Consider the following 21,298-nt stretch of genomic DNA (forward strand, 5'->3'; position numbering starts at 1 on the left):
TCTTTTTTGATTGTTGTTTGTTTAAAGTCTGTTTTGTTTGAAATTAGAATAGCAACTCCTGCTTTTCTGTTGTTGTTGTTTTCCATTTGCTTGGTGGATTTTTCTTCATCCTTTACTTTGAGCCTATAGGTGTAATTGCACGTGAGATGGGTCTCTTGAAGACAGCATACATTTAGTTCTTGCTTCTTTATCCAGCTTGCCATTCTATGCCTTTTAATTGGAGCATTTAGCCTATGTACATTCAAGGTTAATATTGATATGTGTGGATTTGATCCTGTCATCATCTTGTTAGCTGGTAATTATGCAGACTTTATTATGTATCTGCTTTACAGTGTCAATGGTCTATGTGGTTAAGTGTGTTTTTGTTGTGGCCATTAACAGTCTTTTGTTTTCATATTGAGCACTTCCTTAAGGATCTCTTATTGTTACACCATAAAGACACATGCATTTGTATGTTCATCACAACACTATTCACAACAGCAAAGACAAGGAATCAACCTAATGCCCATCAATGGTACACTGGATTAAGAAAATGCAGTCATATACACCATGGAATACTATGTACCCATGGAAAAGCATGAGATCATGTTTTTGCAGCAGCATGCATGGAGCTGGAGGCCATTATCCCAAATCAACAGAAAACCAAATAATACATGTTCTCACTTATAAGTGGAAGCTAAACATTGAGTACACATGAACACAAAGAAAGGAACATTAGATACTGGGGCCTACTTGAGGGTAACAGGTGGGAGGAGAGAAAGGATCTAAAAACTATCAGGTACTGTGCTTATTACTTGAGTGACAACATAATCAGTACTCCAAACCCCTGTGACATGAAATTTACCTAGATGACAAACCTGAACATGTACCCCTGAAACTAAAATAAATTAAAAAACAAAACTCCATAAGCATTAGCAAGTGTCCATTGCAATACTTTAGAAAAATCTAATAATTTATTGGGGAGGCAGGGTATCTTCTCTTAACTATAGCTCTGACCTGACTTATGAGCAATTGCACCATATCAAATGTGATGGTTAATTGTATGTGTCAACTTAGCTAGGCTATAGTACTGATATATTTGGCCAGACACCACCAGTCTAGATATTGCTGTGAAGATGTTTTTTAGTACAATAAACAGTTAAATCAGTGGACATGGAGTAATGCAGATTACCTTCCATAATGTGGTAGGCATCATCAAATCAGCTGAAGGCTGTAAAAGAAAAAAGACTGAGGTCCCCAGAGGAAGAGGAAATTCTGCCTCCAGACTCAAGCTGCAACATCAGCTCTTTCCTAGGTCTTTAGCCTGCTGACTTGCCCTGAAGATCTCAGACTTAGACTTGCTAACTTTTTGCATTGAATCACAACACATGAGCCAATTCATTAAGGTAAATATTAAAGTAAAGCTCTCTCTCTCTGTCTTTGTCTCTGTCTCTGTGTTTGTGTGTGTGTGTGTGTGTTTGTGTGTGTGTGTATGAGCTTTTTTTGGTGTTTATGTTGCTTAAGGATCTCTGTGCTTCTTAAATCTGTGACTTAATGTGTTTCACCAGTTTCAAAAAATTCTCTCTTCACATATTTCTTTTAGCCATAAAATATCTGTTAAAGGGCTAAAAGAAATTAATTTGTTTTTTAAGACTGAGTCTCGCTCTGTTGCCTAGGCTGGCGTGCAGTGGCATGATCTTGGCTCACTGCAAGCTCTGCCTCCCGGGTTCATGCCATTCTCCTGCCTCAGCCTCCTGAGTAGCTGGGACTACAGGTGCCCGCCACCACACCTGGCTAATTTTTTTTCATATTTTTAATAGAGATGGATGTTAGCCAGGATGGTCTCGATCTCCTGACCTTGTGATCCACCTGCCTCAGCCTCCCAAAATGCTGGGATTACAGGTGTGAGCCACTGTGCCCAACCAAGAAATTAAATTTTAAACACACTCTCATCCCAAACACACACAGAAATACTAGTAACAAGCTGTAGAAATGATCCCTGAAAGTATATTCTTGAAATACTAAGAGTTCTCCAGAGATATATGTCTAGGTGGGGGGAAGGGAATGCACGAAGGATGAAGGAATAAATTAAGGGTGAATATATGGGAAAATCTAAATAAATATTGTCTGTATGAGAAAATTATGTCCCATATTATTTTAAAAACAGAGTGAATACAAATGTATGATAACAATACCACAAAATTTATGAAAGAGAAAATACGAATAAGGAGTTATTAGGTTATTTTTTACTGTTTGGGATGTACTTAAATGTTGACTTATTGCAAGTCTCATTAGTCAAGAATATAAATTGTAATGCCTAAGGAAACCACTGAAATGATAACAAGAGAATGCATAAGGACCAAGCTAGCAGAGGAAAAGTTCAGAAAACTCGTTAAGTACTAAATCTGAAAGAAGGTCATGAAAGAGAGGAAAAGGAACACAGAAAAGGTAGTCAATAGAAAACCATAGTAAAGAGTTCATTTAAATCCATTGCAGAAAACAAAATGAAGGCAAAGATGTATCAGGCAAAAGCTAACTTAAAAGAAAGCTGGTGTGGCTATACTAATATGGTACAAAGTATACCTGAAAGAATAAACATTAGTATTGACAAAAAGGACTTTTATGAGGCTAAAACAATAAACTAAAAGAAGATGTATAATTCCACATTTGCATGCTCCTAATAATATAGTCTCAAAATATGTAAACACATAACTTTCAGAAATAAAATCAGAGGCAAATATGCAGTCACAGTTGGAGATTTTCACACACTTCACTCAGTAATTGATAAAATATTTTGATGTGGATAGAACTTCCATATGCTCTTGGCTGGAGACTAAATTGGACCACTCACTGTAAAAGACTCTGACATTGTTCCTTGAAGTTGAATATACACATAGCCTATGGCCAGAGAATTTCACTCCCAAGGTATAGTCAATAGAATATCAAGAAATATTTACAAATGTTTATAGAAGCTATAGTTGTAAAAGGCAGACTGTAAATAACTGAAATGATCATATATAGTAGAACTAGGAAATGGATTTGGATTTCATAATGATGATGATGGATTATCATCAGCAGGAAGAATGAATGAACTAATATTATGTGCAATAATCTAAATGAATCTTATAATGATAGGTGAAATAAGTCAATTACAAATAATTTAAACCACATCATTCTATGAATAGAAAATTTTTAAAAAATCAATAGTCTTTTTTTTTTTTTTTTTTGAGATGGAGTCTCACTCTGTCCCCCAGGCTGGATTGCAATGGTGTGATCTCAGCTCACTGCTGCAACCTCCACCTCCTGGGTTCAAGCAATTCCCCTGCCTCAGCCTCCCAAGTAGCTGGGACTACAGGCACGCACCACCATGCCCGGCTAATTTTTTGTATTTTAGTAGAGACGGGGTTTCACTATGTTAGTCAGGCTGGTCTCGAACTCCTGACCTTGTGATCCACCCGCCTTGGGCTTCCAAAGTGCTGGGATTACAGGCGTGAGCCACCACACCCAGCCAACAATAGTCTTATAAGTCAAAGTGTCAGCTATATTTGGAAAGAGGCCATAGTCACTGGAAGAGAACACAAGTGAAGTTCTTGAGATTTAAATAAAGTTTTATTTCCATGAGACATGGATAGTGGCTTCATGGGCAATTTATCTTTGTGATAATTCATTAAACTGGACACTTAAGAGTTGCACACTTAATTTTATCCAAAATCTATTTTCAAGTTAAAGCACGTAATAGCATTGTGCAAAAAACAACTTTCCTTATGAATTTAATCCTGTTCTATTAAATCATCACTTTCAAGTTCTACTCCTGAAGACAGGCTTGGTGTACCCTCTTAGGGCATTCAGCAATACTCTCTGGTGAAGTCAAACTGAAGACACACTGATAAAGCATCTTAGAAATTACATGGATTCCTTCCTGAACGCCATAACATCCGTTTTGCTTACACTTGTATTTTATACAGCATGTGTTAGCACTTATGATGTTGTCCGAGTATATATTTGGGTGTCCAAAATAGATTATTTGGTACCTTTGCAGGATTTCAACCTTTTGTCTACATGTCATGACCTAAAGTCAACAGTGAGGAACTATTACTTCCCTGCTTTTATAAATAAAATCTTATTGTAAATCCTCTTAAAAAAAAAACAACGTGAGCATTTTTCAGTTTCCGCTGCCACTCACTACGAGTAGCTAAGAAATCTGTTCTTCTTCCCTTCTGGATGTTTTTCTCTTATTAGCTTTTTCCTGTGGTTCCATCTTATTAGATGCCTAGACATGCATGCTTCTTTTCCTCTCCTGCATCCTTAATGCAGGATGTGCACGTGCATGGAGGAACACAGGAGCCATGTGCTGTAGGGAGGGCAGAATCTCTCCTACAGTGGAGATTCAAGCATCCAGGAGTTTCTTTTTGGCTCTTGCCAAAAAGTTTTTTTTTTTTTTGAGACAGAGTCTTGGTCTATCGCCCAGGATGGAGTCCAGTGGCATGATCTTGGCTCACAGCAACCTCCGCCTCCCAGGTTCAAGCAATTCTCCTGCCTCAGACTCCCAAGTAGCTGGGATTATGGGCATGTGCCACCACACCTAGCTAATTTTTGTATTTTTAGGAGAGAGAGGGTTTCACCATGTTGACCAGGCTGGTCTTGAACTCCTGACCTCAGGTGATCCGCCTGCCTCAGCCTAACAAATTGCTAGGATTATAGGCGTGAGCCACAGTGCCCGTCACCTATTTTCTTACTATTACAGAAATAACTGGTTTCTGCTTTTTTTTTTTTTTTTTTTTGACGGAGTCTCATTTTGTCACCCAGGCTGGCGCAATCTCAGCTCACTGTAAGCTCCGCCTCCCAGGTTCATGCCATTCTCCTGCCTCAGCCTCCCAAGTAGCTGGGACTACAGGCACCCGCCACCACGCCTGGCTAATTTTTTGTATTTTTAGTGGAGACAGGGTTTTACCATGTTAGCCAGGATGGTCTCGATCTCCTGACCTCGTGATCCACCCACCTCAGCCTCCCAAAGTGCTGAGATTACAGGTGTGAGCCACCACGTCAAGCCCAGTTTCTGCTTTTATGGAAGGAACCACTCTTATTTAAAACTACAATTTTTGTATTTGTGTTAGGTTTTTGTCTGGTTTGTGTTGGACAAAAAGAGTGTCCCACGTGTGTGTTTTATGGTTTCACAGACTTTATTCATCTTCGTGGACAAAGGCAGGTAAAACACATGTTTTTCATTTTATTTTTTTTCTGTAAACTGTACTTTCAATAAATGACTGATTCTTAAATAGATGATAATACTTTTTCTAGTGCAGAAATAAAGTCCATGCAATTTTTATAAAACTTGGACCATACTTTTCAAAGTTCTCCTAGAGTTATGCATAGAAATGAGTATATGATCCAAAATGTAGATGCTTTCTAGAGCAAAGTGAAGGGAAGAGGGAAAGAACGAGAGAGAGTTCTGGGAATAGCCATGCTTTCAGTCCCTTCCCAGGGAGGTAAATATATTTAAGACATATATTTTAAGAAATTGCTTATATAATCTGTTATTATAATTTGGTGTATTCCTTTGAGTTAATATTTTTATTTGAGAAATGCAGTGCATGCACATTTTAGGTAAATGAAGAAAAGGCTTTTAATGAGGTCATACAGATTGTGATGTCCCTACTTAGACATGCAAATCAACATAAGGAGTTTCACTCACAGGCACAAGTTTCCCATCAGGGGAGCCAAGAGTATTTTGGAAACAATGCATGACACAGAAGAAGAGGAGCCAAAGCTGTCTTATATATAGGGAGTAGCCCTTTTGTTTTGGCCTCCATTTCTGTTAGTCCTTAAAATCCCTCCCAGGTTAAAAATGGCTTTTCCAAGTGAGTATGTCTCAACACAAACTTAGGATATTGAAGTCCCACTTATAAACAGCAAACTCTTCAACATAGAAAGAAAACAAAAAGAGGTAACAACAGACTACTATCGTCAGTGAATTCCTGGGCATTTTGTTCCCAAAGCAATCAAATCTGCATTTATATTTAAAGAGAGCTCATAAGAGTGCCCCATCTTGAATACCTGAATTGAGCTCCTGACCCTGTTCCCAGGATTTGATCTGTGAGACCTGCATCTTTAGAACATGTATCAGGTATACTCTTGGTGTAATAAAATGTGCCCCGGGGTCCTTTTTCTGACCTTTCTCCCTCTTTCTTCTCACTTTTACTTTCCCTTCAGTGCCTTAGCGAGGGCTACACAAAATTCAAAGTGTGTGCTTGGCCTGCTTGAGAATTTATAGACAAAGCTGAGCTATGGAAAAAGCGTCAGAAGCAGGACTTACAATTAAATAAGAAAACAAAGCCCTTGTTCTCTCCCTCCTCTTCCTTGCTGAAAACAAAAGACCAAGTCTACTGGAAAACATCAGTGCAATTCAAAAGCAGGTGTATTTCCACATGCAGAGCAGCTTGTGGGCTAGAAGCAGATGCCAGTGGTTACATAGTAGCAAGGGTTTTAGACTACACTCTCAGGGAAATGTTCCAAACCATCCAAGGTGACCTCTTGCGCGCGCGCGCGCACACACACACACACACACACACACACACACACACGGTAGAAGCTAACATTTGGCACTCTATCTTTTTCTTTGTTTGTTTACGGCCTAACATACCCCAAGGTGTTCCAGATACTCATGCTGCTACCAGGTAACCAGGCCACCACACTGCCATCTGTTTTAGCTCCACCCTAACTTAACAGTGCTTTTGTGTTCCAGAATTTCCCCTACCTCCTTCCACTCCTGCATCTCCAGATTCATTTCTTTCTGTTCCTTTACTTTCTGATCAAACTTATAGAACTGAGGTTATGTTAGTTAATGTAGTTTACATAGCTGGAAAATAGAGAACCTGAGATTAAAATTCAGGCCTTCTTTCTCTTAACCCATCAGGCTTCTTTTTGATCATTTCAATATGATGCTTCACTATAGCCCAATTTTTTGTCACATTCTCTACTTGAATATAGAAATGCACTCATTCATATATTTGATGTGTGCACTGTATCAGACCATAATTTACTTAGGCAATAAGAAAAGTATGATTTTGCTCTATAAATGTTCTACTTCATCTTTTATGGGGTTAACCATTTTCTGTTTTAGCTGGAGAAAAATTGTCAAAATTTGTTTATCTACATCTCATATAATATGGTCTAGACAATTGTTACCTTTACCAAAAACATCAACAACAGGAGCAGAGGACTTGGATTTGAAAAACTGACATAGGTGTTCAGAAAAGCTTGGAAGAAGAAAATTGAGAACAAAAAACTTTTCTTGAACTCAACTCTAGAATTCGTTCACCATTTTTCTTATATATCTTATAGTGTCTTGGGTACACCAGGTTATCATGGCCAGGCCAGCAGGAGAGTTTGTTGAATGAGCTCATGTATAAATAACTGCTCCGTAAGGCTGTGAACATTTATGAGGCTCATTATGTTTCAGTTCTTGTTTAACAGCAAGTCCCTCCCTACTTGGGCAGTGGAATCCCGCTGATTTACTACTTATCAGGAATAAATTACAGTTTAGAACTTGGATTTTTCTTCATGGTTTTCTTTGTGTCAGCATAAATAAACTTAGCTAATAGGGCTATTTCCCATTGCCCATTAAACGGGCTGTGAGTAAAAGACTTCCTGGCTTCTGAGAGAAGGAAGATGAGAGAACTGAGTCATTTTACCTGAAAGTGTTTACAATGTTAAGGGCTTTGGGAAATAGATGTCAAATACTGCAAGTTACAGCATTTCCTAACACTTATTTGAGTTTTTAAGTTTTGCTTTCCATCAGCTACATAATCTTATTATTGTAGAAGCCATTAGCACTGGAGACTAAGAAGTCATTCTTGGTGAATTCTGTAGGCAAAGATGACTACATCCTAACACACTGCCAGGGTCATCATCATCTCTACGTACCCTTCTCTTAATGACATCTAGAGTGATGGCTTCACCCACTTTGATGAAAAGTTCAGAATTCTGTAATTACTGAAAGAGAGAGTGGAATGTCATTTCTAGGTCTTCATCCAGAGTAATTTCTTGGCTCCAATGCCCACATTTCATTTGCAGAAACAGCTTTTTGGTATTAGTTAACATTCAAGGAATAGTTTCAAGTTTTACAACTGCAAAAGGGTCATTATTTTTATCAGTGTGCTGGAGGTTATTTTGAGTCTGAATACGGAGGGCCCAATTCAATAAAATCTCAGCCTGACTTTCCCAGCAGGATGCTCAAACCATGGAAATTCAACAGGGGAGCACACATGGGCTTCTACGATACTGAACCAGGGCTGAATTTCCATTTAATCATTCTCAAGAAATCAAAAGACACTTTAGGATTAAATGGCAAACCTTTTAAGTAGGAATTCCTCAGCCAAAATGGCCAATTAGCATTTAAACTGCAGAACTGCATTATGTAAGAGGAAATGAGTAACTGAAAAAAGAAATTATCTTCCTTATTAGTTAAAAAGGTAAACCAGAAACATGGAGTTATCACAAAACAAGCATTCTCTTCTAGAACAGGAGAGATACACAGGACTTTTGTTTCAAAAAGAATTAAAAGGATCCATGTTATTGACCTGTTCTCATGCTTTTAGCTTTAATTGGCAAAATTAGCTCAGGTGAATAATATTAGAAGACACCTCTAATTATATATTTTGTTGCATCACACAAGTGACTCAAAAGCTCCATGTTTATGACTTTAAATTGATTTTTTTAAATAAATTACTTTATGTATTGGAAAGTAATGTTATATTTAGACATAGCCTAGATTCAATTTTTTATATTCATAAAATCTTGGCTTATTTAAAGCTCCTTCCCCATCTTCCAGTGTGCACCTCAGGGGCTTAGAGACTAAACAGAGTAAGAGTTGGCTTAGGAAAAAAACCACATTTCTGCTATGACTGCTCATAAAGGAAAATTTAAAACCTTCCAGAAATGTAGTTGAAAATGGCTCTTAAGCAATTGTTTATTATCTTTCTTCATGTATCATCAATTTTTAGACTCAGCTTTCACCAAGCTCAATAATTATGTAAATTTCAAATGTTGGTTCTCACCAATATTTAGTAATGTTATTGTTGTGCATGTTTGTATACATACTTTAAACAAATGAAAAGGCAAGCAAATTCAATGGTTATTATTGCTGCTGTTGCACTTTGCAATGTTTTTCTTCTTTGTCAGTTCCTCATTATGGTATCCCAGAGGGTTTCATGACATGGACTTTTGTAATATGCCACATGTGGTGAAGACCAGCAGTTCAACACCAGAAGGAATCTGACCAGTGCTCACTGCAGCATCTCCAGAAGTGATAGGGATTTGCTTAGGGAATAAAGAACATGGACTGCACTCTCCATAGGACATGGGTTTTTTCCATCAGTAGTCTGGATGATTACCTAAAAGCATGACGGTAAATAACCGATGCTTTTTCTCACCCACCTCACTCATTGCAAAACCAGCCAAGATCTTTCATCTGTTGAGTGACTTGAGATTTTGCTGTAAGAGTAATCATTTTTGTTTACCAGGATGGTAATACTGAAATTGACCCAATTGTCTCATAGAATGTTCTTTTTGATAAACGTAGAAATTGACCCTTCTGATCTTAAAAAGCTTGAAACATATTTGTTTTATCTGAGTTCCTTCCTCAGGAGACCACCTTCAGGCCTCACAAAAAGTACTGAAGAACTGAAACCAGATCATGGTATCGATGCTGGACCCCTCTTTCACCATGACGGCTTCTTTACCTCTCCCAAGTTCCTGTTTTCTTACACATTGTTACATTTCTTGCCTGCAATATAAACCCCTGATTTTATTCAGTCAGGGAGATGGATGTGGGACTGAGCTTCTGTCTCCTTGGCTGTGGCACCTGATTAAAGCCTTCTTCCTTGACAATACTTGGCGTCTCAGTCATTGGCTTTCTGTGCAGTAAGCAGCAGGACCTAGACCGAACCCCTGGTGTTTTAGTAGCAATGCTACTAAAAAAGACAAGATTGTTTTTTGTTTGCTTTCTGTAAAAAACAACAAAAGCAGAGATATATAGATGTATACCCATTCAAACATTATTTTCTGTTGAAAAGTTAATTCAGACTTCTCATTGACTAATTGAATGATGACAATCATTTAAAATATGGCCTATCATATAATTGTTCATGGAAAAACATTATTAACAGGTTGGCCTATCTTTTTCAAGACTTTTATAAATACTTGTGTATGCATGTACTATATATATATATTTAATAAATCTTGAATTATTCTGTATATGCCATTTTGTAATTTGTACTTATCTATGCATTATCTTTAAACATTTTCTCAGGTTGTTCTTATGGGTTTTAGTGTCCAATCATGTTATATTTTCATCATATATTTGAACAACTTCTATTGTTGAATATTTTGGAGTATTTCACATTTTCTCTTGTTTTAAATAATCCTGTAGCAATTACATTTGTGTAAAAATCTTTGTATACTATTTGATTATTTCTGTACTAGAAGAACGATTGTATGTCATAGAATGAGTATATTTTGAAGTTCAATTATTATTATCATTTTTATTACAGCAGTAATGTAGAGACCCTCTAAAATAACAATTATTAAGATTACACACAACTATTACACTGCTCACTGTGTTTCTAGGCACTGTGCTATTATATCAGACTTAACTTAATCTTCAATAAAACACTGTTGAATAGTTCTTTATATTTTCTCAATATTATTGATGAGGACATTTGGGACTTAGGTTGAACAGCTTGCCCAAAACCAAACAATTGATAAATGGCAGGGCTGCCTTACTCTAGAATTGTGTTTTCAAAAAAGATGATGCAGTTAGAAAATTATAGGACAGTTTTGATTTTCACACAGATTAGGAGAGGATGCATTTGGAGAATAGACGCCAAGGATGTTAAATCTTCTGCAATGAGTGAGAGAGCCCCACACAACTTTAGGGTGTTTCTGGATATTCATGTAACCAATTATCTAATTTTCTGATCCTAAAACCTAAATCTGTTTTATACATAAATACAAATAACATTTGCAGGGTTTTAATATGCAATAAATTTACTAATGATGCAAAGCTTACTTGAGTGAAGATAGACCTGAATACAAATTTGTTTTGATCAGAACTTTACCAAGAGTTGTTCAACATTTTGGAAAATCAGGTAGCTGCTGACATCACAACTGTAGTATGTGAGCCTCCAATACAACACCCTTACAGTCATCTAAATTTGGAGTGGTCAGGTTCATGGTGACTGTATGCATAGGTGTGAGTGGGATCACTTTATAACATCTTCTAGTCTGGCTCGGTGCAGTAGCTCACACCTGTAATCCCAGCACTTAGGGAGGCAGAGTTGGGGGGTTCACTTGAGCCCAGGAGTTCCGGATCTGCCTGGGCAACATAGCAAGACCCTGTTCTCCACAAAAAGAAAAAAAAACACAGAAAAAATTGGTACATCTTTTAGTGTGGTTGTGCCTGGGCATGAAATCCATATTTTTATCATAAAGTATTTCTCTTTGATTTTATATTAGTATAATAATTGCTTAATACTATGTGAGCACTGTGTGTTACATTAGCACTTGATTTTTTCCAGGAAAGTAAAGGAGTGATTCAACCTATTAGTTATAAAAAGGGTATTACATATGATAGGACTGAGGATAGCAAAATGTACATGTCTGGGGTACAGAGTAAGGGGTACATTTACATGTTAAATATAGACACACATAGAGGAACTCACACCTGCACACACAGCCTGAACTCTGATACAACATGTCTGTGCTTTTCAAATTGTCATTCTCAATCTTTTAGTGAGCCATGACATCAATGCATAGGTTGAGACCAGAATTTTTTAATGACATAAAGTAGAACAAATTAGAATGGAATGAAATGGAGTAGAGTGGAGTAGAGTGCAGTGGAATGGATGGAATAAGAGGAGATGGGATGAAATAGAATAGAATGGAAGAGAATTCAGTATCAGTTTTGTCTGTTTTATATACCTGTGCTTATAAGGACATATTGTAAAATGCATCTCTTACTTTGGGCCAAAAAGGTGAAAGCCATTGAGCTACACTACCATACTTTATACAGAAAGCAAGTAACATTTTCAGGGGTTAATCATTTTTCTGTACCTGAGTGTCGAAGTTGGTTTTGATAGTGATTGATGGGAGAGGAAGAAACCCAAAGATACCAGTGATTACTACACATCTTGAGTCCTCTCTTTCACAGTTTGCCTGAATGGAAGTGATGGTGCTGGCACAAAGCCAATTCCTTGTCTGAATGTCTGTGTTCCCCAAAAATTTGTATGTTTAAATCTAATCACCAAGGTGATGATATTAGAAGGTGGGGCCTTTGGGGTTGATTAGGCCATGAGGACGCCATCCCATGAATGGGATTTATGCCCTTGTGAAGGAGGCCCCAGAGAGCTGCCTTGCTTCTTCCACCATGTGAGGACACATGGAAAGCACCATCTATGAGGGAAGGGTCCTCACCAGACACCAAATCTGCTGATGCCTTGATCTTGGACTTCCCAGCCTCCAGACCCATTGCAATGTTTATATATTACCCAGTCTAAGGTATTTTGTTACCACAGCCTGAATAAAGACAATTCCTCATCCTCTTTCATTATGACTGACACTGAATGTGCTTGCCTATGCTACAGCTACTGGAGATTTTGCTGTTTGCTTTGTGTCACTATTTGGTCTTACAGTTAAGAAATGGATAGAAATTACTCTCCCACATCTTTGCCTCCCTCTGCTTTTTTCTTCTCCCTTCCCTTCATTGCATTGGTTCAGAGAGGCTGCGTCCTCATGACTCCATTTCATCCTGGCTTCCCAGACTCCTTACTTCAGGGATCTATAAGGTGATGCTTTCCCCCCGCCACCCCCACTGTTTCTTTGAAACTTACCTGATCTCCATGTCATGACTCTGTGGCCTGACAGATGACCACGAAGTTATTTTTCAAGACACTGATTCAGACTAAAATAGTAATGGATGTGTATGTGACACCTTCTAGGAGGTATTTTTATTTCTAATGGAAGTAGAGTATTAATGAAAACGAATGAAAGTAGCATAAGAGGCATATTTGGCTGGGGTGGAAGTGAGTTGTGGAAATTTCGACAGTTTCTTTCTTATAAGGAAACCAGGAGAACCTCTGCCTAAACATACAACTGGTCTTCATTAAACTCCAGACACTCTTTCAGTCTGTTTCAAGCATGACACAAATTAAACCATTACTATATTTTTTAAAAATATTATTTAAACAGTTTGTTACCTAAGGCAAATTCAGAAATAGACCCAAGAAATTTTATTTATGTTGTCAACACTCTACTGGGCAATTATAACTTGAAAACTTACATCATTATTTAGCCCTACTCTTTCTTTGCTATTTTGGTCCAACATGTGCTGAGTTTTTCTGATTTACACCCAGAATGTTTTGTTCCTTGATTTGATCCCTCCTTTCTTTTCCTACGGCAGCTGTATTCATTTTATCTAGATGGAATATTTCAAGAGCCTCACAATTTCTTCTCTTTCTCTTATTCATTCACTTTGTCATTTGTATTATACCTTCAAAACCATAGTTCTGATCATTTCACTCACTTGTGCAAAATCACTTGTGTCCCTCAATTACCTATAGAATAAAATCCAATCTTCTTCCCTTTGAATTCCTCAACCATCTGGCTTCATCATTCCTTTTACTCATTAGCTAAAAGAAATTAATTGTTGCTCATTGAATATCCCACATACTTCTGTAATTATACCTTTGCTTACTCTTATACATAAATCTTACTGGAATTTCCTTCCCACAATGTCTGTGGTCCAGAATCCGTTATAATTTTTAAGGGCCAGAAGAAATATCACCTTTTCTAAGATATCCACAATACTTGCTTCACAGAATGAACACAATCTTTTTTTCCCATCATAACTATCCTAACACATTGTGTGTTAAATTCTTGACCACTTTTTTTCCCTTTTTACTGTTTTTACTTAAGAACAACTTTATATATAGTAAAATGCACAATTCTCAATAGTATAGTTTAATGTGTGCTAAGAAATGCATACCCCTGAAATAGAGATACAGAGTATGTGCATTATCCCAGAAAATTCCCTATGGCCCTTGGACAGTCAGTCTCCACTACTACTCCTTGCCGAATGCAACTAGTGTTCTGATGTCTTTGACTACAGATTATTTTTACTATTTCTACGACTTCATATAAAAGGAATCATTCAGTATAATAGTGTCTTCTTTAATATTGTAGTTTCTTTCACTTAAACTATATTTGAGAGTAAACCATATTTTATCACCTATCAATTGTTGATTATTTTTAATGCTTAGTTGTATTCCATTGGATGAGTACAACATAACTTGTTCATTCATGGATGAAAATTTATTATTGTCAGTTTTTTGGCTATTAGAAGAAAGCTACTATGAACAATCTTTATGCACATACATTTTCATTTATCATGGATAAATACTGCCATATTTTCCAAAGTGTTTAAAACCTTTTATACTCTAATGAATAAGATTCAGCTGCCTACCTCTTCAATAGTTGGTGTCAGTCTTTTTTTTTTTTTTTTTGAGATGGACCTTCATTCTTGTTGCCCAGGCTGGAGTGCAATGGCGCAATCTTGGCTCACCGCAACCTCTGCCACCCAGGTTCAAGCGATTCTCCTGCCTCAGCCTCCCGAGTAGCTGGCATTACAGGTATGCGTCACCACACCTGGCTAATTTTGTATTTTTAGTAGAGATGGGGTTTCTCCATGTTGGTCAGGCTGGTCTCAAACTCGTGATCTCAGGTGATCCGCCCACCTTGGTCTCCCAAAGTGCTGGGATTATAGGTGTGAGCCACCACACCCAGCCTGATGTCAATCCTTTTAACTTTAGCTGTCTGGTGGGAAGGTAAGTTACTGGAGAATGGTGTGAACCTGAGAGGCGGAGCTTGCAGTGAGCGGAGATCGCCCACTCTACTGCAGCCTGAGCAACAGAGCAAGACTCCATCTCAAAAAAAAAAAAAAAATGTGATTTTTGATTTTCAAAAATCAAAAATATTTGGGGGATTCTACAAATATCTTTCTGCTTTTAATTTCTACTTTACTTCTGCTATGTTTGGAAAATACACTCTCTGTCATGTCAGTAGTCTTAAATTAATGAGATTTATGTCTCATCATATGGTGCATCTTTGTAAATATTCCATGTGTACCTGAAGAGCATGTATATTCTGCTGCTCGTTGATGAACTGTTGTATTAGGTCAAGTGTACTGAGGGTGTTGATCAGATCTTCTATATCCTTACTATTTTTTGTTTTACTTTTGGTTAGTTTCTATTAATAATTGAAACAGAAGAGTTAATATCTTCAATTATAATTGCAGATTTGTCTATTTCTCCTTTAATTATCTCAGTTTTTGTTTTATGTATCTTGAGTTTCTTTTATAAGGTGAGCATATATGTCTCCTTGAAAAGTTGAACTTTTTTTTTTGAGACGGAATCTCACCCTGTCGCCCAGGCTGGAGTGCAATGGTGCGAGCTCGGCTCACTGTAAGCTCCGCCTCCCGGGTTCACGCCATTCTCTTGCCTCAGCCTCCCGAGTAGCTGAGACTACAGGCGCCTGCCACCAAGCCCGGCTAATTTTTTTGTATTTTTATTAGAGACGGGGTTTCACCGTGTTAGCCAGAATGGTCTCGATCTCCTGACCTCGTGATCCGCCCACCTCCGTCTCCCAAAGTGCTGGGATTATAGACGTGAGCCACCACGCCCGGCCAAAGAATTGAACTTTTTATCATTATGAAATGTCCTTCATTATCTCAGTTAATACTCCATGCCTTGAAACATACACTTTCTACCCACTCCAGCTGTTTTATGATTAACATTTGCATGTTTTATCTTTTCCCATCATTGTACTTTTAACCTAGTTGTTTTCTTATATGTAAAATAAATCTCCTGTTAAAAGCATATAGTGAATCTTGTATGTGTGTTTTCTAGACAGACAATTTGTACTTTAAATTGTGGAGTGTTTCATCCGTTTGCATTTAAAGTAATTATTGATGTAATTGGGTTTACATCCTGTCATTTCTCCCACTATTTGGCCCATCTATTCTTTGTTTCCCTTTGCTTCTTGTCCTCACCTCTTTTGGATTAATAAGTGGTGTGTGTGTGTGTGTGTGCGTGTGTGTGTGTGTGTGTGTGTGTGTGTGTATTCTGTTTTATCTTGATTATTGTCTCATTAACAATACACTTTTGTTTTAGTTTTAGAGGTGGGTCTATGGTTTGCAGCATGCAAACGGAGAGCATATCACAGTCTCTGTCGAAAAGGCAATATTACATACCACTTCACATATTAGATGAGAGATGTGTAACAACATACTTTCACTGCTCCCTCATCCTTTATTCCACTGTTGTATATTTTATTTTATTTTGTATATACCTTATGGTGGGTTGTACGGTGAGTTGTGATTGGGTAAAATCCTAGTATATTAGAGAAGTTGAATATTTGTAATGAGTATTTTATTTTAAGAGTATTAGTTATAAAACTAAGTTCTATTGACAGTAAGAGTCCTAGGATGGCTACACTTAGGGCTGTAAGTTTTAGATCAAGTGATATTGTTGTTTGGGGAGATGAAGTAGGGATAATGCTATTGATGATGAGAAATCCAGTGAATATACTGCCGATTATAAGGCATTTAATTGGATTTATTAGGGAAGGGTTATTTTCGTTAATGTTGATTAGGGTTGGGATGCAGAGTTGTCCTATTAGGGTGAAGGAAATAATTTGGATACTATAGAAACTTATTAGAGAAGTGGCAATGAGAGTAATAGAGAGGGTTCAGGCATTAGTATATGAAGTGTTTGTGCTTTTGATGATGAGATATTTAGAGTAAAAGCCTGTGAGGAAGGGCATACCTGTAAGTGCTAGCCTGTCAATAATAAGGGAGGAGGAAGTAAGGGGTAAAGTCTTAAATAGTCCTCCTGTTTTTTGGATGTCTTGTTCATTGTTGAGGTTGTGGATGATGGATCCTGAACATGTAAATAATATAGCTTTGAAAAAGGCGTGGGTGCAGATGTGTAGGAATGCTAGGTGTGGCTGATTAATGCCAATTGTGACTATTATAAGGCCTAGTTGACTTGAGGTGGAGAATACTATAATTTTTTTATGTCATTTTGTGTTAAAGCACTGATTGCTGTAAATAAGGTGGTGCTAGCTCCTAAACATAGGGTAAGGTTTTGGATTAACATGTTATTCTCTATTAATGGGTGGAAGCGGATAAGCAGGAAAACTTCTGCCACAACTCTAGTGCTAGAGTGGAGTAGGTCTGAGAATGGGGTTGGGCCTTCCATGGCGGAAAGAAGTCAGGGGTGGAGACTAAGTTGAGCTGATTTTCCTGTTGCTGCTAAGAGAAGGCCAATTAATGGAAGAAAATCGGGGATAGGATTTAGGATAAATATTTTTTGAGGTTCTCATGTATTAGAGGATGAGAGGAATCGTGCTATGGCTAAAATGAAGTCAATGTCACCAATGCGATTACGTAGGATTGCTTGGAGGGCTGCTGTATTAGCATCTGCTCAGCCATGTCATCAGCCAATTAGTAAAAAAGACAAAATTCCTACACCTTCTCATCTGATAAAAAGTTGAAAAAGGTTGTTGGCAGTAACCAGAATTAATACTGTGGTTAGGAAGATAAGTAAATATTTGAAAAAACTGGCTAATGTTAGGATCTGACTTTATATATAATATTGAGAATTCTATAATAGATCAGGTGACGAATAGTGCTACTGTAATAAATATCATGGAGAAGTAGTCTAGTTTGAAGCTTAATGAGAGTTTAAGGGTTTGAATTGTTATTCAATGTCAGTTTGAGGTGATGGCTTCTAGGTTGGTATACATAAACGTTGTGGGAATGAGGCTAATAGTGAACGTGCACGCGATAGCTATTTTTACATAATATGGCTACAAGTTTTTCTTGCGAGGGTTGATGAAGGTAATAATGATTGGTAAGGTTAAGGAGATTAAGGTTATTATAGTAATGGAAAAATGCATGATTATTACTTTTATTTGGAGTTGCACCAATATTTTTGGTTCCTAAGACCAATGGGTCGCTCTTATACTTTAAAAGTTGAGAAAGCCATGTTGTTAGGCATGGGGGCATGAGTTAGCAGTTCTTGCATAGTTTCTCAGTAAATAAGAAGTTACAGACTTCTATTATCAGATCCACAATCTAATATTTTGACTAAACTATATTTACAGGGTATAAAGCCTATAATTATTTTAGGGTTTAGAGATAAAAAGAATAGGTGAAAGATGTATAAATATTAATATATTTTCTCTTGTAAAGGAGGGTTTAATACTGTTAATATAGCATGTACATGTTCCTCGTTGTATTGTGACAAGTATATAAAGGGAATAAAGGGCTGTGGTTAATATATTAAGTCCTATAAGCATAATGGTAATGTTTGATCAGGAGAATGAAGCTATTATTACAAGGAGTCCTCCTATTAGATTAATGGTGGGGGGTAAGGCAAGGTTGGTAAGATTTGCTGTAAGTCATCAAAAAGCTATTAGTGGAAGTAATGGTTGAAGGCGTTAAGAGAGCAGTATAATTCGGCTGTGGACTCACTCGTAATTTGAATTTGCTAAGCAGAATAGTAAGGACAGAGTAAGTCTGTGGGCAATTATGAGGGTAATTGCACCAGTAAAGCTTCAGGGGGTTTGAATAAGGATAGCCATGATAACAAGGTTAAATTTTTTTTATTTTTAAATGGAGTCTTGCTCTGTTGTCCAGGCTGGAGTGCAATGGTGCTATCTTGGCTGACTGCAACCTCCACCTCCCGAGTTCAAAGGATTCTCCTGCCTCAACCTCCCGAGTAGCTGGGATTACAGGCGTGCACCACCATGCCCGGCTAATTTTTTGTACTTTGAGTAGAGATGGGGTCTCACTATGCTGGCCAGGCTCATCTCGAACTCCTGACATTGTGATCCGCCCACCTCAGCCTCCTAAAGTGCTGGGATTACAGGCATGAGCCACCACGCCTGGCCTTAAGGTTCAATTTTTAAAAACAAGTTTTAAAAAAAGAAAATGTCTTTATTTTTACCAGTGTAGTTCCTACTTCCATGGCTTTTATTTCAAAGTGTAATCCAAATTTCCATCTGACATTTTTCTCCTTTAGTCTGAAGAACCTTATTTGACATTTCTTTCAATGCAAGTTTGTGGTGCTGAATTCTTCTAACTTTAGTTTATTTTAAAATGTCTTTATTTCAACATCATTTTTTAAAAATGTTCACTGGTTATAGAATTCTAGATTGACATGTTATCTTTTCTTTCAGTATTTTTAAGATAGAATTTCCTTGTCTTCTGGCTTGCATTGCTGTCTTTTTTATAAGAAATACAATACTTTTTATTTATGTTTTCCTTCTATTTGTGGTGTATTATACTTAGTGTTTTGTTGCTTTTTAAGGTTTTCTCAGACCTGGAGCAGTGGTTCATGTCTGTAATCCCAGCACTTTGGGAGGCCAAGGCAGACAGATCACTTGAGGCCAGGAGTTTGAGACCAGCCTGGCCAACATGGTGAAACCCCATCTCTACTAAACACACACACACATACACACACACACACACACACACACACACACACAAAATTAACTGGGCATGGTGGCTCATGCCTGTAATCCTATCTACTTGGAAGGCTGAGGCACAAAAATCGCTTGAACTCAGGAGGTGGAGGTTGCAGTGACCCGAGATTGTCCCACTACACTCAGCCTGGGTAACACAGTGAGACTGTCTTGAACAAAAAAAAAAAAAAAAGTTTGCTTTTTATCATTGTTTTTTTCAGAGATATGTCTATGATAGTTATACAAGTTTTTATTGTGTATATGTTCAATCTGCTTGTAATTTAGTGAATGCTTAGGATCTAAGAGTTGATATCTTCAGCAAATTTGGAAAATTTGGGGCTATTTCTTCAAATACATTTTCTATCCCAATTTCTTTCTCCTTTCTTCCTAGGAGTCCAATTGCATGTATTTGAGAACATTGGATATTGCCCCACTGTCTTTAAAACTGTCATTATTTAATATTTCAGCATTTTTATTCTATGTGCTTTTTGTTATTTTTTAATGCGATTTCCTCAGCTTTTCTGATATTGTTTCCACAGTATCCAATTTACTAACTAGTTAAGTGATTAACTAATTTTAGATATTTTAGGTTTTAAGGTCTGGAATTTCCATGTAAACATTTTGTACAATTACCATTTCTCTACTGAGATTCCCCATCTGTTCACTCATTAAGCTCATTAGTTCCTTTATATCTGTCAGCTAATTCCAACCTCTTTGTCATTTCTGGGTCTATAATTACTGACTTTCAAAAAATTCATTAGTTATTGGTCACTTTTTTATATCTAGTAATTAAAATGAAAATTATGGTGGATATTGTGAAATATCACTTTATCAAAAGCCAAGATTTTTTTTATGAGTGATTGTTTGGTTTTGGTAGACAGTTTACTAACAGTTTTTGCTTCATTTTCCAATGGTCTGTAAAAGCTTTGTAAAGGTGGATATAAAGTCAGTCTTGGCAGGGCACTGTGGCTTATTCCTGTAATCCCAGCACTTTGGGAGGCTGAGGCGGGTGGATCACAAGGTCAAGAGATTGGATACAAAAATTAGCTGGGTGTGGTGGCACACTCCTGTAGTCCCAGCTGCTCGGGAGGCTGAGGCAGGAGAATCACTTGAACCCAGGAGGCAGAGGTTGCACTGAGCCAAGATCATGCCACTGCACTTCAGCCTGGGCAACAAGAGCGAGACTCCGTCTAAAAAAAAAAGAAAGAAAAAAAAAGTCAGTCTTACAGGTCTAGAGTAGATAGATGCACTTCTACTGCACTCTCAGGTCTCAGATAAATGCCTGGTTTTTCAGTGAGGTCTCTGTGTGCTGCTTGGTATTCCTCCAAGAACTTAAGGAGAAAGCGATGTACATTTCCATGGCTGCTTCTCAGCACCACTTCTTCCTGTACTTTTCCCTTTCCTGTACATGCAGCCTGCCTGGCAGCCTTGAACTCTGATTTCTGACTACCCATTTCATTGAGATCTCTCTTCTCTGCTTGGACAGCACATCTCCGCATTATTTCTAGAAAGTGCCTCCAGGCAAAAGGCTGGAGCCATCAGGAAGCTCAATTTATGTGTTTTCATTCTTTCAAGTATCACAGCCCTATAGTGCCTGTGTTTAATTTTTATAGTTGTTTATCGTGGAAAGGTCATTCTGGTTATAACAGTTACTCTGTAAGAGAAATGCAAGTTGCTCTTGACAATATTTTACTTTGCATTGTAGTTATTCTTGTATATGCCTTATCTTTCTTAGCAG

General features: G+C 37.5%; 2 pseudogenes, besides 1 other annotated feature; both read right to left on the reverse strand.

The window, feature by feature from the left end:
- Positions 5,418 to 5,919: an enhancer, noted in NCBI's record as "NANOG hESC enhancer chr10:36710833-36711334 (GRCh37/hg19 assembly coordinates)". NCBI's record gives its function as "activates a minimal SCP1, AML or CMV promoter by ChIP-STARR-seq in naive H9 embryonic stem cells {active_cell/tissue: H9 hESC(naive)}" and the evidence as "EXISTENCE:reporter gene assay evidence [ECO:0000049][PMID:30033119]".
- On the reverse strand, positions 16,376 to 17,991 carry MTND5P17 (MT-ND5 pseudogene 17; annotated as a pseudogene).
- Positions 18,204 to 18,687, reverse strand: MTND4P18 (MT-ND4 pseudogene 18; annotated as a pseudogene).

The sequence above is a fragment of the Homo sapiens genome, chromosome 10 (genome assembly GCF_000001405.40).
Source record: "Homo sapiens chromosome 10, GRCh38.p14 Primary Assembly".
In the NCBI taxonomy this organism is placed as follows: Eukaryota; Metazoa; Chordata; class Mammalia; order Primates; family Hominidae; genus Homo; species Homo sapiens.